General features: G+C 45.3%; 2 annotated features.

Moving 5' to 3' along the window:
- Positions 10676-11177: an enhancer, noted in NCBI's record as "H3K27ac hESC enhancer chr17:60945905-60946406 (GRCh37/hg19 assembly coordinates)". NCBI's record gives its function as "activates a minimal SCP1, AML or CMV promoter by ChIP-STARR-seq in primed H9 embryonic stem cells {active_cell/tissue: H9 hESC(primed)}" and the evidence as "EXISTENCE:reporter gene assay evidence [ECO:0000049][PMID:30033119]".
- Positions 11178-11677: an enhancer, noted in NCBI's record as "H3K27ac hESC enhancer chr17:60946407-60946906 (GRCh37/hg19 assembly coordinates)". NCBI's record gives its function as "activates a minimal SCP1, AML or CMV promoter by ChIP-STARR-seq in primed H9 embryonic stem cells {active_cell/tissue: H9 hESC(primed)}" and the evidence as "EXISTENCE:reporter gene assay evidence [ECO:0000049][PMID:30033119]".

Raw genomic sequence — 18084 nt, forward strand, 5'->3', positions numbered from 1 at the left:
ACTCTTTCTGCTCTTTTTGACTCTGCGAGGAAAACGCAAGAAATGAAACCCGAATTTCTTTTTTATTATCTGGTAACATTTTGCCAAAATAATTGTTTTTTTGTTTTCTGGTTTTCAATCTGGTTGTGTTTTTATTTTCTTAACTTTAAAAAATAAGGTTTTGGGCTGGGCGCAGTGGCTCACACCTGTAATCCTAGCACTTTGGGAGGCTGAGGCAAGTGGATCACAGAGTTGGAGACCAGCCTGGCCAACTTGGTAAAACCTCGTCTCTACTAATAAGACAAAAATTAGCTGGGTATGGTGGCGCGTACCCGTAGTCCCAGCTACTCGGGAGGCTGAGGCAGGGGAATTGCTTGAATCTGGGAAGCGGAGGTTGCAGTGAGCCGAGATCACACCACTGCACTCCAGCCTGGTGACAGAGCGAGACTCCATCTCGAAGGAAAAAATAAATAAATAAATAAATAAATAAATAAAATAACCATTATGGCTAGCCCTAACCCCAGGGGATCTTATAAAGTGGCTGGTATTTAGTCTCTTCTTTCTGTCTGTGTTTTCCCTCCTTCTGTCATCAAGCAACTCACCCAGATGCAGAGGAAGGTTAACAGGGCTGGAAGTAGGGTGAGGCCAGTGAGCACACAACTTAAGGGGACTCCAAAAGTTCAGTACTGCAGACCAAAAATATTCAGGAAAAAACCCAATAAGAACAAATAATACAAATAAGGCCAGGCACAGTGGCTCACACCTGTAATCCCAACACTTTGGGAGATCGAGGCAGGCAGATCACCTGAGGTCAGGAAGTCAAGACCAGCCTGGCCAACATGGTGAAGCCCTGTCTCTACTAAAAATACAAAAATTAGCCAGGCATGGTCGCAGGCACCTGTAATCTCAGCTACTCAGGAAACTGGGGCAGGAGAATTCCTTGAACCTAGGAGGCAGAGGTTGCAGTGAGCTGAGATTGCGCCATTGTACTCTAGCCTGGGTGACAAGAGCGAGACTCCATCTAAAAAAAAAAAAAAAATAAGAAAGCAGTACAGTATAGCAACTATTTACATAGCATTTACATCATATTAGATACTTTAGTGACCTAAGGATGATTTAAAGTACATGAGAGGGCGTGCATAGGTTATATGTGAGTACTATACCATTTTACAGAATAGACTTGAGCGTATGTGGATTTTGGTATCTGTGAGGGGTCGTGAAACTAATGCCTGCTGGATACTGAGGGGCAACTGTATAGTCACATGGAGGGTGTTGCATTTTAGGCCAAGGAAACAGCATGAATAAATTGATGGGGGCCCTTATACATTTCCTCTTTGAGTATCATCAAGTACTTTGGTGCTGCCAGAGTTCAGGGGAGTGTAATACTCAGATTTTTTATGGTTGCAAGTAACAGGAAATTTGACTCAGAATTGCTTGGCATAAGAGGTTAGCAAACTTTTTCTGTAAAGTGCCAGATAGTACATATTTTATGCTTTGCAAGCCGCATAGTGGCCAGAGATAGGGGAGTTTTCTTCGGTAATTCAATGTCAACAAGGACCTTGTGTTCCAGCTCGCCACACTGTATTTCATAATGTTGGCAGCCAGCATATCCAGGGACTTCAGGGTCTTTTTCTATGTCTGGAGATTAAGAGGAACATTTTAATGAAATATTTTAAAAATCTGAGTTAATGCAAAAAAAAAAAAAACCCACGATGAACAAAATGTGAACATTTTAAATAAAGAGAGGACTCGCATTACTAATTTTTTCTTTTGGCCTCAGGTTCCAATATGGCTTGGTATGGCACTGAGAGTTAATGGCCAGAAATACAGTGGAATATGGCGTGTGTGTGTGTGTGTGTGTGTGTGTGTGTGTGTGTGTGTAGAGGGAAAGAGATGAACCACAAAGCCAGAAGAAATCTTAATCACAGAAGCTTAGTTCAATCAATTTTACAGGTGCAGAGCTGAGAAATTAAGTGTTTTCCCATGAATCAATCACAGAGATCTTTAAAAAGATTAAAGCTCAGATCTCTTGACCACAAATCCCGTGGATACTTACACAGCAGAGGCTTCTAAGACAGAGGAAACTCACATCTCTCCAGAAGAGGCAAGCCCAATGATTTGATCCAAATCAGGGCATATTCTAGCGCCACTCTACATAGAGATAGAGGGGTTTTTGTGTGTTTGTTTGTTTTTTTGTGATGGAGTTTCGCTCTTGTTGCCCAGGCTGGAGTGCAATGGCGTGGTCTCGGCTCACTGTAACCTCCACCTCCCAGGTTCAAGCGATTCTCCTGCTTCAGCTTCCTAAGTAGCTGGGATTACAGGCATGTGCCACCACACCTGGCTAATTTTGTATTTTTAGTAGAGATGGGGTTTCACCATGTTGGCCAGGCTAGTCTCGAACTCCTGACCTCAGGTGATCCACCCACCTCGGCCTCCCAAAGTGCTGGGATTACAGGCATGAGCCACTGCGCCTGGCCAAGATAGAGGTTTTAAAACAGTTAAGGGTCCCAGAGCACATGCATGATCTCTCTTTAGATACTGTGCCACTAAGGATTCCAGAAAAATAAAACATGGCCCAGAGATGCAGCCACAGCCTCTTTTTGGATGCCAGCGGTTCCTGTTCCTCCTCACTCCTTCCCATCCAAGTTTAGGGGAGCAAAGACTATCCTATGTGCACACGACAGTTCTGAACACAGCAAAAGTTCTGAATAAGGCAAAGGACAGCTGCAGCCTGCTGTTCCAGGTCTCACTTTTTCTTTGTCCCCTTATAGGCTTTTGCAAAGCTGTAGGTCCCATGGAGGGTGGGTAACTGGTTTACAAGGTCCAGGGATCTGTTCTAGGTCGTAGGATCAACTCATCTCAGTTTGCTTGGGGCTTTCCTACTTTTAGCACTGAAAATCTCAAGTCCCAGGAAACCTTCAGTCCCAGGCACACTGTCACAGCTGGTCAGAATCACTTTAGGTGCTTGAACCCAGGAGGCAGAGGTTGCAGTGAGCCGAGATCGCACCACTGCACTCCGGCCTGGGTGACAGAGTGAGATTCAGTCTCACACACACAAAAAATCACTGTAGAGACCAGCATCCACATTGGGACCCCACTGTGAGTTCCAGAGTCATTGTGGAGGTGGGGTGTTGACCTTTTCTCAAGAATAGGGTAGAACTCCAGCGTGTGGAGTAAAGGAGTGGATGAACTTGTTTTTCAAGCTGGGGGATAGGAACTTCTGGTAAAACCTGTCCTTCAGCCTCTGATAAGAATCAGAATCTTTTGGCCAGGGTCTGTAGGCTGAAGGCAATAAGGGTTTATCACTACCCCCATGGCACCGGGGCTGCAGGCCAGAGGTATCTGGTGAGGACCTTTGGGTGACAGGAAAGCATTGACACTGATAACAGGCAGACTAGAAAATGCTGAGATTCAATCCCTGCCACTCCTGGAATCAGGGCAGAGGGAATGGGGGCAGAAACTTTTGTATCCAAATCTACCTCCAGGGACTGGGTTTCTAGGACAACACTCCCTCCCATGCGGCCAGCCATGGAGCATCTCCCCAGTCACCTGGCTCAGCCTCCCTCCCAAGACAGGGCTGCTGGAGGAAGTGCTAAAGACATGAGATCCTGTCAACACCTGGGTGGTGTGGGGCAGTCTCCCACCTGGATTTTGAGAGGTGGCTGTGGACAGGAAGGCAAGAGTGGGAATGAAAGGTTGGAAAGTCCATCAGAGTTACCTTCCCCCTCTGGTGTGTGCGCACGCACGTGCACACACACACACACACACACACACACGTACATGCACATTTATGTACATTCCACCCTGATTAAAGCATTGTGAACTCTTATGAGAGGAAACAGAAATGTGAAGTCCTGACTGAGTCCACAAGTGAAATCTTAGTGAGTAAGTGTCTGAGCAGGAAAAGGAGTCCAGGTGCCCATTAGTTCCGGCAAATTCCCACAGTTCAGGATCTCCCTGAACAATTTCCACTGGGCTAGGACAGTCAGGGTGTTGTGAAGATATATTCAGCTTCTAGTAATAACTTCCAACATACTGGAGAGAACAAAGACTGGAGAGGTTCCAAAGAGATCACCTGCTACAGAAGGATCTGACGAGGCTGTAAGGTTATGGAATGGGTAGGAGGAAAGGTTAGGACTTAGATAGAAGGAGACTGGGGGGATGTGGAAGAGGAGGGAGTCAAGGGTTCCATTCAGAGAGGTGGGAAAGGTTCAAGAACAGCCTGCTTTGACATAGATAATAGTCTTTATTGCTTTACGGTTACTGATGTATATGTCTATTATGTCTAATTCGTCTTCCACCCATCCCCTCCACTTTCAATTTACAAGCTCCATGAAGACAGGGCTGTGTCTTATTCAACTGTGTATCTATGTTAAGTGCTTAGCAGAGTGCCTTTAACATCATACAGGCTGGGCGTGGTGGCTCACACCTATAATCCCAGTGCTCTGGGAAGTCAAGTGGGGAGGATCATCTGAGTTCAGGAGTTCAAGACCAGCCTAGTTAACACAGCGAGACCACATCTCTACAAAAAATTTTTTTAATTAGCTGGGCATAGTGGCATGTACCTGTAGTCCCAGCTACTTGGGAACTGAAGGAGGAGAATTGCTGGAGCCCAGGAGGTTGAGGCTGCAGTGAGTCATGATCACACCTCTGCAACTCCAGCCTGGCAACAGAATGAGACTTTGTCTTTGAAAAACAAAACAAAACAAAAATCATACATATATGTGTGAATATGTATAAATCATACATATATGTATACATATATAAACATATATTAAAATATATATACACATATGTGTATATATATGTGTGTGTATATATAGATAGATAGATAGATACACGTGTGTGTATCTATATATATATATATATATATATATATATATATATATATATATATATTTTTTTTTTTTTTTTTTTTTTTTTTTTTAGATGGAGTCTCACTCTGTTGCCCAGGCTGGGGTGCAGTGGCGCAATCTCAGCTCACTGTGACCTCTGCCTCCTGGGTTCAAGTGATTCTCATGCCTCAGCCTCCCAAGTAGCTGGGATTACAGGCACCTGCCACCACACCTGGCTAATTTGTGTGCTTTTAGTAGAGATGGGGTTTCACCATATTGGCCAGGCTGGTCTTGAACTCCTGGTCTCAAGTGATCCACCTGCCTTGGCCTCCCAAAGTGCTGGGATTACAGGTGTGAGCCACCACGGCTGGCCAAAAGTCATGCATATTGAAGAAACATTTCTGACAAAAATTGAAGTGGAATTTCAGAATGAGTTTATTAAAGTTTAAGACATATATCTTGGGACGAAGAATGTCTACCACAAATGTAAAAATAAGCCTGGTGAAACAAACTGATGTCCATATCCAAGCCCCCAAAATACAATTATGAATTATTTCTGTTAAAGCTTAAGTATAAAAAGTCACCCAGACTTTTTCATCAAGATCTTCATTGAGACCATGCACATCCTGTCAACCAATACAACTTTGTCTTTTTGAAAATAGTCCATAATTCCATGTAAACCAGAATGACCAATTCAGGTAAATCAGAAGGGCTTGGTATTTGCAACCTCTGTGTATTATGCAGGTTGGTTCTATGTCAGGGACAGCAAATGCCTAGCACCAGTGAGCTGCTGACTGCTTGCTGAAGCCATTGTGATGACATGTCATGACTCCTCAGGTTATGCATCTCTTCCATTTCTCTTTGATTCCTATTATTGTACTTCTTTCCCCACCTTCTATTCCTCTTCTATATTTTCCTCTTTGTCTTCCTGTATCAAAGAATCTAATCATTGCCCATGCATGCACACCCTTCTAGGTGTTTCTGTCTCTTTTCTCTACCACATCCCTCCCCAAGAGTGACAGCTGCTGGTTCCCACTCTTCCTGAGGCCTGATCGCTCAGCTTTTCCTTGGAGTCCATGAGGTTCCTTGGAGTCCACCGTCCTCCTCATACTTTAATTTGTCTAAGTAGATTTCTGTTCTTGCAACCAAAGTTACCCCAAGCCCTTTCCTTCTGGCCTCTGCTGTAGGATAGGCCTGCCAGTGGCACCTGGAGGAACTGCTCAGCCAGGACGTCAAAGGGCTATCACCCAGCCTGCATGCTATGAAGCATCAGAATATCTGGAAATGGGTGGATGTTGGTTGAATTTTCTATTTTTTAGTGGAATGTTTCAGCATCTTTTGGACAAGGCTCTCTGGCTAGCTTAAGCACCTTGTTAAGACCATTAAATGAATTTTGTGGTGCAAGACAAGGAAGATTCACGTTAATATTGCCACTAAGCCCTACCTATATGGGAGGCTTAGCTGGATATAGGTGATCAGGGATTTCTTTCTCTCTCTCTTTCTTTCTTTTTAAAGAATGGAAAACATTAAAATTGGGAAATAAAGTGGACTTTAGACTTTATCTCCCTAAAAGGAATGGCTGTAGAACAGCAAAACCTTCTTCTATTTCCAGAAGGGAATTGTGGCAAGAGAATAGAAGCTTTACGGGGAATTACTGGTATTATCAAAGGCTTTTCAAAATAGACTTGAAATGAATAGTTGTGTGCTGGTTTTATTACTGCTTTGCGAGTTTACATTTTGTTTTTGTATGGTATTTTTCTCTCCTCTATGAGATGGTTGCTAAGGCATGAGAGCAAATAACCTTTATTGTGTTGAATTTGGGACCGAACGCAATTATCTTATAATTTGGGTTCATAGTGTCATTTTTGACAGTTATATTATGAGCTTTTTGGGGAAAATTGAGCCCACATGCTGTAAGCTGCTTCCTCTTCAGTTGCCCTTCAAGTTACAACATCTATGCTCCTCTATCCCCCATTCATTTGCACTTGGGCAGCCTTGGGGCCAGATGCTGCTTGGAGGCAAACCAGACGATCCACTGTGGGCACTACCAAGCCACAGCATTGTCTGCTCTGAAGAGGCCCTGTCCCCTGTCATATGTTATTTCCAGGTGACTACATGGACATGGGTCTCAAGGGATGCTGCAAATGGTTATTACTAAAGGTATGTTGCATTGCTCACAACAAAGGGAAGTCATAAGTCAACAGAATTTTTGTACATCAAGCCAATGTTCTTAGTAGCCTTCGTGACTATTTCGGAGATGTTTTATCTTCCTTCCTTCCTTTCTTTCTTTCTTTCTTTCTTTCTTTCTTTCTTTCTTTCTTTCTTTCTTTCTTTCTTTCTTTCTTTCTTTTTTTTTTGAGACAGAGTCTCGCTCTGTCACCCAGGCTGGAGTGCAGTGGTGCGATCTCGGCTCGCTGCAAACTCTGCCTCCTGGGTTCACCCCATTCTCCCTGCCTCAGCCTCCTGAGTAGCTGGGACTACAGGCGCCTGCCACCCCACCCGGCTAATTTTTTGTATTTTTAGTAGAGACAGGGTTTCATGGTGTTAGCCGAGATGGTCTCGATCTCCTGACCTCATGATCTGCCCACCCCGGCCTCCCAAAGTGCTGGGATTACAGGCATGAGCCACCGTGCCCAGCTGTTTTATCTTCATTTCTGACTGGCCTTTAGTTGGCAGCACTTCTTACCTAATCTATCCCGTAGCATTTTTGTAAAGGAAGGTAATGAGCTATAAATAAATTTTGAAATGTACCATGGGAACACATTGCTTACAGAAATCCTTCTTTAAATAACAATTATTTTCTCTGTTCCTTCCCATTGCCCTAGTAGAAGTTTGAGTTCCCCCATAGCACACCCTGAGATAAGAGTTTAAGTGCAAATGGTTTACTCGGGAGTAATGTCAGGAAACACCAGTGGGATGTGAGGAAGTGGTACAGGGAAGGGAAGGACATCAATAAGAGATACAACATCAAATAGGTTACTACTGTGGGTAAGTGGGGCTAAATCCTGCCAAGGATCCCTGGGAGGCAGCATAGAAGACACACCTCAGAGTTATACCACCTAAGGGCGAGGGAGCTGGGGTATTTATATACCAACTCCTTCAGTCATTAGTCAAGGGCTGCTCAGGGGTGGGAGTGAGTTGCCATTTCCCAGCACTTCTGCCTTCTACATGGGCAGGGACTACCAAAACCCAAGAAAGCTCTCAGGCAGAGATGTTAAGTGCTGATAGTTGGAAGCCAAGCCAGTGTATGCTGAAATGTAGAGGCTGGGAGGCTGTGGCCAGGACACCCAACATCTGCTACCCTTAGCTCCCCGGAGCATGTGAGAAGTCAACTCTCCATTGCTCCCGAGAATCACCACCAGCATTTTATTGTGCTTAAGACACACATTGTCTTCTATGTGCATTTTCTGCAAACCTAAAAAGGGTTGTAAAGACTTATTAGAAAAGTGAAGTGTTTTCCCTCAAAATATTTCTTTATGTAGAAATATGAGGAAATGGAGCCAGTGACCACAATAAATAGATTAATAAAAATCCTTTTCAAAATGTCCCCACCCATCATTTTCAGTGGATAGAGGATATAGATGCTAACATGTACAGCCTTTATTTTCAATATGGTCTTTAAACCACCAGCAGTGGCTTCTCATGTTTGGCATAGGCTCGCCCCTTAGATGCTTTTTGAAAGTGTCTACATATCCCTGGGTACCTCATGGACTATGGTGTGGCAGGGAAACCATCTGTAAAGTGCCCAAGTGGGCAGGGGCCAAATGGGGGTATGTGATGCCTGTTTTTGAGGGAAAATACTTCATTTCCCTAATGACAAGTCTCTAAAAGCCATTTTTCTTTCTTTCTTTCTTTCTTTTTTTTTTTTTGGTTTGTAGAAAATGCACATAGAAGACATTTACCAATAAAAGCTGGTGGTGATTCTCAGGAGCAACAGAGAGAGTCGACTTCCTCTCACGTGCTCCAGGGAGCTAAGTGCAGCAGATGTTGCTGGTGTCCTGCCCACAGCCTCTCAGCCTCTACATTTCAGCACACACTGGCTTGGCTTCCAACTGCCAGCACTTATATATCTTCCCCTGATAGCTTTCTTGGGTTTTGGTAGTCTCTGCCCATGCAGGCAGAAGTGCTGAGAAATGACCACCCACCCTCACCCCTGAGCAGCCCTCGACCAATGACTGAGGGAGTTGGTATATAAATACCCCAGCTCCCTCGCCCTCAGATGGTGTAACTCTGAGCTGTGTCTTTTATTCCTAGGCACCACCTCCAAACACACTCACAACTGAAAGTGTGATTCAATCCAGCCATCTTAATTCCATCAACATCTCTTGGAAGTTCTGGATCTTCTTGTCCCCAGTGAGTCCTGCTGCTCTATTTATCCCTAATGGCACTCTGGCAGCTGAACCAATCATACCCTACTCAAGCTCCTATTGCTTTGAGAGTTTTTAAGTCTCTCTAGGTTCCTAACATAGCATCGGAAAGGGATCTTGGTAATGAAGAAAATTAAGCTCATGGAGTCTCTATTGCACACAGATGCCACAAGAGAGTTGAGCTGAACTTCTTGAGATCCATATTAATGAGTTGGCATCTGGGCAACGTGGAACCCAGAACAGTTGTATATCAGGTCTGCCTAAATGGTAGCCTGCATCCGTTATCAGATCCATTGACCATTTCCATTTTGATTCCTAATTCTTGTCCTGGCTATGTAATTTGTGACATTTCAGAGCTAGAAAAAACCTTAAAGATCATTTAGCCAACTTGTTTTACTAGTAAGAATATTGCATTCTAGTGTAGTTAGGTAATTTACCGAGAGTTCAACAGCAGCTGAAGAACTGAGCCTGGGGGACAGAGCCAGACTTTTCCACTTCGCTGCAGCAGCATTTCTCATTGAATTTGGTAGAAGCAAATGTTTCGTTTCACAAAGTTTTTTATTTTTTAAATGCCTGCTTAAGGCAGTGCAAGGCACTGTAGGGGATTTGAAGAACAAGTGCCCTCATGGCTCTGAGCAATGCAAACGTGAAGAAACCATTACACAGTATAGCAGAGATATTTTATTTTAATATGTGGGTCCATGTGATAAACTGAGGCACTCACCCTGGCCCTCATGCCCTGATAAGCTTGCTGCCACAGGTGAGGAATCTATCCTTCCTAATCTGTGCTAGGACTCAGGGGTTCGCAGATGAGACAGGAGCTGACATCCATGTATGGTTAGGATAAGGGAGTAAACCGCCCCACTGTGCAGTCCCGTCTGCCTTGGCCAACCTGACTTTGCAAGCTGAGCCTGGTTGCCTGGCAAGAAGATGCCTGGCCTTGCTTCCATACACCTGCAGCCACATTCTGGTTGCACAGCCTCAGGCAGGTACTTAATCCTTTTAAAATTCAATGTCTTCATCTCTAAAATACTATAAATAACAGCATCTACAGTGTTGGCTGGTGATGAAGACTAAATGAGGTAACACATGAAATTCTTAGTACTCAAAAAATCCTTCTTATTATTGTCATTTTTACCCAGTTGCCACCTTCGCCCCCGGCCCTAAAATAGCTCGCATTTCTCCATCTCTCCTATAGAGTTTTCCTATCATCACTTTCCCCCCAGCTTGCCACTCACTAACAATTTTCTCCCCATTCTCTTGCACTGTCTGCTTACGCTCTTTGCCTCTTGCTTCTGGCTCTCTTTCTCCCCCTATTCCTACTCCTCCCACTGGTCTCTATACCTTCTTACACCTCCTGTTCATTTCTCATTCCGTTTCCTATTTTCTCTGTTTTCTTGCAATTTATGTCTTTCATCCCAGCTCCCCAGTTCCCACCCCCAGCCATTTTCCTGTTCCCACGCTACCAGGAGGTTCTCTTTCTTCTCTGCTACTATTTCCTTCTCACATTTATCTTTCCTCCCCTCTCTTCCCCCTTTTGCATCCCCTAGCTGCCCCTTCCTAGGCCCCCCCTACTCTGCTGTCTCCCATCTTCCATGCCCAAGGAACTCAACCTCCATCCCTGACCTCTTCCCTTCGTGGTTTTTATCCTGGAAGTGCACTTGCCCGCTGCAGTAGGCAGCCTCTTAGATGGCCACTGATGTGGTCCCCCCTCCTGGCTTTCATGTTCTCATGCCCCCATGGAATCCACTCCCCTTCAGTGTGGGCTGCACCTAGTGACTCGACAAATACAGCAAAAATGATGGGATGTCACTTTTAGCTTAGATTTTAAAAGACTGCTGTTTCTGTCTTGGCTGCTTTTTGCCTCTGAGGAAAGCCAGCTGCCATGTTGTTGTAAACTCTCTGACTGAGAGAGCAACAGAGCAAGGAACTGAAGTCTCCAGCCAACAGCCAGGGAGGATCTGAGGCCCACCAGCAGCCACAGGCACAGGGCTGGGAGCAGACCCTCCCCCAGAGGAGCCTTGGGATGCTGTGGCCCTTCCGACACCCAAGTCAGAGGCACCTAGCTAAGAGGCTCCTGGATTCCCGACCCACAGAAACTGTGAGATAATAAATGTTTGCTGTTTTAAGCTGCTAAGTTTTGGGGTCATTTGTTGTGCAGTGATATTTAAAAGGCAGAATTGGGCCAGGCACGGTGGCTCACATTTGTAATCCCAGCACCTTGGGAGGCTGAGTTGGGCGGATCATGAGGTCAGGAGTTCGAGACCAGCCTGACCAATATGATGAAACCCTGTCTCTACTAAAAATACAAAAAATTAGCTAGGCGTGGTGACAGGCACCTGTAATCGCAGCTACTCGGGAGGCTGAGGCAGGAGAATCACTTGAACCGGGAGGCAGAGGTTGCAGTGAGGTGAGATTGTGCCACTGCACTCCAGCCTGGGTGACAGCATGAGACTCCATCTCCAAAAATAAAAAATAAAACACAGAATTGTCCTCTATGGACCACCATTCAGCAACATTTTATCTTCTATGGCCTTGAGCAAATTACTGTCATTCTTTGGGCCCCCGTATCCTCATGACACCTAGGGTAGGAGTCTAGTGTCCCAAGTGTCCTATTCATAGCATAGGGTCGATAATGTTAAGGCGTATCTGTCCTGTTCTGTTTCCCATAGGAAGCCTAGTGAAACCTGTACTTCGTATTTTAAGTTCCGTATCTTTATATTTGCCTCACATTTTTCACTCCTATTATCTGAAGTCTGTTTCTAATTTCTGACAGAATTGTAATGGCTTATTGTGTGCCTTGCTCTGCATGACATGCCAATTTCATTTTGGAGTCACGGCTATTGTCTTTTTCTCTGCTAATCTCTCTTGTTTTGCAAAACTCCAATAGAACGTGTGAACATAGAGAGTTGCCCTTGTGCCTGATCTTGGCTCTGTGTGGCCCCCAAACAGGGGTGGATGATAGACAGACAGCCTGTCTGCCACCCGAAGCATCTTTTCTTGCTTAAAAATTTGCTTTCCAGATTGCAGACTCCTTTCCAACTCCAGCAAAGCCTGGAACACATTAAATAAAAGCAGAGCTGAAATTGGATGGAATGTTTCAGCCACTTAGATTCAGACCTCTCTGGGGGAAGCCCATGGGGAAGGGACCGGGACATGCCCCCATGGATAACACAGGGGAAGAGGGCTTCTATGCTGTTCTCATACCATTCAAGCCTTAAACAGAGGCAACATATTTTTCTTAAGCAGGGCCTGTAACCCAGGATCCATCACTTATGTATGGTGTCCATGGCAACCAGGCAATGGTATGGGATCCCTTCTCACTGGGGAATTCCTTTTATGGCTCATTTCCGAAACCAGCATGGCCAGTACAGGAGTCTGCCGTTTCCCAGTTGCTTAGCAACCAGCTCCTATGCTCTAGTCACTAGAAAAAGCCGACAGTTTTTTTTTTTTAAGAAAGTGTTTGTCATCAGAATCATATGTTACATTCTCTCTACTTTGTCTCTTTAGAATAAAATAATTAGTGTGTGATAAGGATGCAGAAAGGGCAACTGCTCCCTGTTGTTAAAGCCTCTGCTGTTCCTGGCGGGCTGTTTTAGGCAAGGAGAGAGAGAGGAAAATGTTAGCATGCTTTCGGTTGGTAATTAAGCAGCTCGAGCCATCTGCACGTGGAAAGCTCTACATTTTTAACGTCTCGTGGGGGCATCAAGTAAGTACAGGGCCAGCAATCTGTGTGCTACATCCCTTCCCAAACCAGAAAATCCAGACTCCACCCACAGGTGTCATCTCTCCTCGGCTTCCATTCCTTAGGGGGTTGGGGAGGCCGGGATGGGGTGAATTGGCTTGTTGAGTTTTAGGTACAAGGGCACAAAGATCATGCAGCACCCCCTCTACTGTTACAGCAGTGGTTTTCAACTAGAGGTGATTTTGCCCCCCAGGTGACCTTTGGCAAGGCCTGCAGACATTTTTGGTTGTCACAACTGATGGGGAGGGGGATGTTACCAATATCTGTCTAGTGGGCAGAGACCCGGGGATGTTGCTAAACATCCTACAATGCAAAGTGTGGCCTCCAACAACAGAGAAGTGTCTTGCCCCTGATGTCAATATCCCAAAGTGGAGAAATCCCAAGTTAGAGAAATCAGAATATCTGTCTTGTTAAAAAAAAAAAAAAAAAAAAGCTAGCATGACAGCTGACGAGAAAAAATTTTCACAAGGTAAAGGGTGGGACAGATCAAAACCCATTCAACAGATATCATTCCAACCGAAATTTCTGTATAGCAAGGAACTCCTGGGCCCCCACCAGCAAAAGTGTTGGGCAGAGCACCCTTTGGAGTTGTGGCAATGGAAGGAATTTGTAAGCCGACCTTCCTAGAAGGAAGGAGAGCAGAGTTGGAATGCTCTGTCCTGGCTTCCAAGGGACTTTGGCATGAGACAGATCCAGCTTCACATTCTGGGTCTGCTGTCTATGCACTATGGGTTCTTAGGTATTTCACATAATCTCTCTGGGACTCGGTCTTCTCAACTCTAGAATGGGAATCTAAGTGAGTATTATGAGAATTACATGGCGGAACGTGTGAAATGCCTGACCCCTATTGGGCCCTGGATATTAGCTCCTCCCATTTCCCCTCTTGTTTCAGCCTCAGGAACCCAGCTGCCCCCTCTCCATTGCTGGGTACTTTGGACTTTTGAGGAATATGAACAAATGTACTGGTCCTATAAATGACTGAGGTCAGTTTATTCAGCAACGAGCAAAGGACAAAAGCACCATTTTTGGAATTTTGGCTGGTAGCCTTAGACTAAATTTAGGCATGAGGGACAGAAAAACCCAAGAAACGGGTGAGATGAGAGGCAGTATTGCATTGATCAAAAGTATGGCAGGCCAGGTGCGGTGGCTCATGCCTGTAATCGCAGCACTTTGGGAGGCAGAGGTATGTGGATCACCTGAGGTCAGGAGTTCGAGACCAGCCTGGCCAACATGGTGAAACCCCATCTGTACTAAAAATACAAAAATTAGCTGGGCGTGGTGGCAAACGCCTGTAATCCCAGCTACTCAGGAGGCTGAGGGAGGAGAATCACTTGAAACCGGGAGGTGGAGGTTGCAGTGAGCTGAGATTGTGCCACTGCACTCCAGCCTGGGTGACAGAGCAAGACTCTGTCTCAATAATAATGATGATAATAATAATAATAATAAAAAGAGAATGCACATGGCCGTGCCTGATGGCTCATGCCTGTTAAATGCGGCACTTTGGGAGGCCAAGGCAAGTGGATTGCCTGAGTCCAAGAGTTTGAGACCAGCCTGGGCAACGTGACGAAACCTCGACTCTACTGAAAATGCAAAAAATTAGCCAGGCGTGGTGGCACATGCCTGTAGTCCCAGTAACTCAGGAGGCTGAGGTGGGAGAATCACCTGAGCCTGGGAAGTCCAGGCTGCAATGAGCCGTGATCATGCCATTGCGCTCCAGCCTGGGCACAGGTTTCAAGTCCAGCTCCCCATTTACTGGCTGTGTGTGACCTCAAGCGAGTGACTTGGCTGAGCTTCACTTTCTCATCTATGAAATGGGGTTATTATTATATCGTCTAGTACTATGTAAAGATAAAAGATAATGTATATAAAAGTGCCTAGCCTGGTGCCTAATATTAGGTAGGCACCTGATAACTGATAGCATGCATATTCATATAAACAATCTTCCTTTTTTTTTTCTTTTGAGATAGAGTCACACTCTGTTGCCATGCTAGAGTGCAGTAGTGCAATCTCAGCTCACTGCAACCTCCACCTCCTGGGTTCAAACGATTCTCCTGCCTCAGCCTCCTGAGTAGCTGGGATTACAGGCGTTTGCCACCACGCCTGGCTAATTTTTTTTTTTTTTTGAGATGGAGTCTTGCTCTGTCACCCAGGCTGGAGTACAGTGGCATGATCTCTGCTCACTTCAACCTCTGCCTCCTGGGTTCAACCAGTTCTCCTGCCTCAGCCTCCTGAGTAGCTGGGGCTACAGGTGCCCGCCACACGCCTGGCTAGTTTTTCGTATTTTTAGTAGGGATGGGGTTTCACCATGTTAGCCAGGATGGTTTCAATCTCCTGACCTCATGATCCTCCCTCCTCACCCTCCCAAAGTGCTGGGATTACAGGCATGAGCCACCGTGCCCGGCCTTTTTTTTTTGTATTTTTAGTAGAGACGGGGTTTTACCATGTTGGCCAGGTTGGTCTCAAGCTCCTGACCTCAAGTGATCTGCCCACGTCGGCTTCCCAAAGTGCTGGGATTACAGGCGTGAGTCACTGCACCTGGCCTGCTTGTTTTTTTTTTAAGTAAAACTGTCGTGCGTCGTCCAACCCCACATCTTCACTGGTGCTGACAGTGAGGCTAAGGGCTGTGTATTAGGAAGAATGTCCTCCCTTATCCCATCTAAAACAGATTTCCCTCAGTATGATATGCTAGTGCCAGCCATCACAACGTTATGTAAGTAATTTTTGAAGCTATTTCTGTTTTTAGCCTATTCTACCTCTTGGGGGGTAATGAGTTCCATACATTTAGCAACCATTTTTAACTTGCTTGAAATCTTGAGAAAATCTCAAGAAACCTCTTCTTTAAAAAAATTGTTTAAATTGACAAATAGTAGTTGTTCGTATTCATGGGGTAGCTAGTGATGTTTTGATACACATGATGTATAATGATCAGATCAGGGTAATTAACATATTCATAATCTCAAACATTTATCATTTCTCTATGTTGGTAACATTCAGTATCCTCCCTCTCCCTATTTGAAACTGTATAATATATTATTGTTAACTATAGCCATCTTACAATGATGTAGAACAATAGAACTTACTCCTCCTACCTAGCTGTAATTTTGTATCCTTTATCAAATCTCTCCCTACCCCTCCCTTCCTCCTCCCCTTCCTGTCCTCTAGTATTCTCTGTTCTACTTTTTACTTCTGTGAGATCAACTTTTTTTTAGCTTCCACATATGAGTGAGACCATGCAGCGTCTTCATTCTAATAAGCTGGGGTTTGGTCTATTTTCACATTATCTGTACTTTTCATAATTCTTGAAACTGCAGTATATCCTGTCAACCTCCAGCCTTCACCCTGACCTCATACAGAAGCCCCTCCAGCCCCTTAATCACTTGAAATGCTTTGTGAACTCCCTGCTTTCTTTCTTGAAATGTATCAACCAGAACTGCACATTCCAGTCTGTGTTAGAAACAAAGGTTAGCCGGGCATGGTGGCAGGCACCTGTAGTCCCAGCTACTGGGGAGGCTGAGACAGGAGAATTGCTTGAACCCGGGAGGCGGAGGTTGCACTGAGCCGAGATTGTGCCACTGCACTCCAGCCTGGGCGACAGTGCAAGAGTCCGTCTCAAAAAAAAAAAAAAAAAGAAACAAAGGTAAAGTGATGTTTTCTTTCCCTACAACCCCCCCTACCTCACCCCCTTACTTTTTCTAACAATTTCCCAAACTTGGTTCGCCTTTGGGCGCCAGAGCACTTTCCTGAGCACTCTGCAATGAGTCCCAAGTCCCTTTCCTGGGTCACAATCGTTGGTTCATAGTGGCAGCAGCTCGTCCTCTATAGTTTGTACTTTTTCTCCTTGTCACTCTTATTTCCCACTGAAGTATATCTGCCAAAGTTGTGCCCACTCACCCAACCTCATTGCACCTCACCAGTTGGCTTCTGTCTGTATTTTTTTGTTTGTTTTTTGTTTTTCGTTTTTTTTTAGACAGAGTCTCACTCACTTGGTCGTCCAGGCTGAAGTGCAGTGGCACGATCTCGGCTCACTGCAACCTCTGCTTCCTGGGTTCAGGTGAGTCTCCTGACTCAGCCTCCCGAGTAGCTGTCATTACAGCTGTGCACCACCATGCCCAGCTAATTTCTGTATTTTTAATAGAGACGGGGTTTCACCATGTTGGCCAGGCTGGTCTCGAACTCCTGACCTCAAATGATCCACCTGCCTCGGGCCCCCAAAGTGCTGGGATTACAGGTGTGAGCCACTGCGCCTGGCCTCACAGTCGGCTTCTTGTTGAACAGACATCTAAAAGCCTAGAGATTACACTCCTAAATTGTTGTGTGATCCCACCCGATTTTACCCAGTTGACTGAAGCTCTTTGGAAGTGCGGCTCTAAATATGTCATTGCTAAAATTTTTTCCTTCCACAGGGGATAATTAAATCATGTCAAATATAGAAGCGACTTGCTCATCCCTCCCAAGCAGATTTATGGAAACTCACCTGGAAACCACCACAACCTGGAAAGGTGGCAGGAGGATGTTTATCAGGCACGTATGAGCCCAGCTTCTCAGAAGATAGACACAGGTGCCTTTGTCTCTGAACAAGTGGCAGGAGCTGGAGCCACAGTCACACTGGGGTTCTGAGTGGCTTGAGACGGGACATTGTGAGGTTTACCAGGAGGACCAAAAGCACTCAAAGTATGTGGAGGTCAGAGCAGTGGCAAAGAAGGAGTCCAGGCGGGCTGGGGAGGGGTCAAGGGGCATCAGGCAGCACGTCTGGGAGCCAGGATGACAGATGGGAGATTCAAAACAGGGCACCACTAGAAGCCTGAAAGGAAGGCAAGGTTTTATCAGGGTAGGAACTGAGCTCTGGAGAAAGAACAGGACAACTGGCCATGGCTGAAAAGGGGGCACAGGGTCAGCAAGTTGAAGACAGATCCTTATGATAATGAACCAGGGTGGAAACAGGAAAAGAGGGTTTGATGCTTTCTTTGGGGCAAACGATTCTCTCCCTATTCCTGCAACAATAGCGCAGGTTCCTAGATCAGTCATTTGGTCCATTAGCAGCTAATGCTGGTTGTGGGTATCACACCAGTAGATGGCCATCACCTTCATAAAGCTCCTGCACAATGCTCAGCTCGTGAGTGCTCCAAGGAAAACATTTCTGTGGTGACTGTGTTTGGGA

The sequence above is a fragment of the Homo sapiens genome, chromosome 17 (assembly GCF_000001405.40).
Source record: "Homo sapiens chromosome 17, GRCh38.p14 Primary Assembly".
Taxonomy (NCBI): Eukaryota; Metazoa; Chordata; class Mammalia; order Primates; family Hominidae; genus Homo; species Homo sapiens.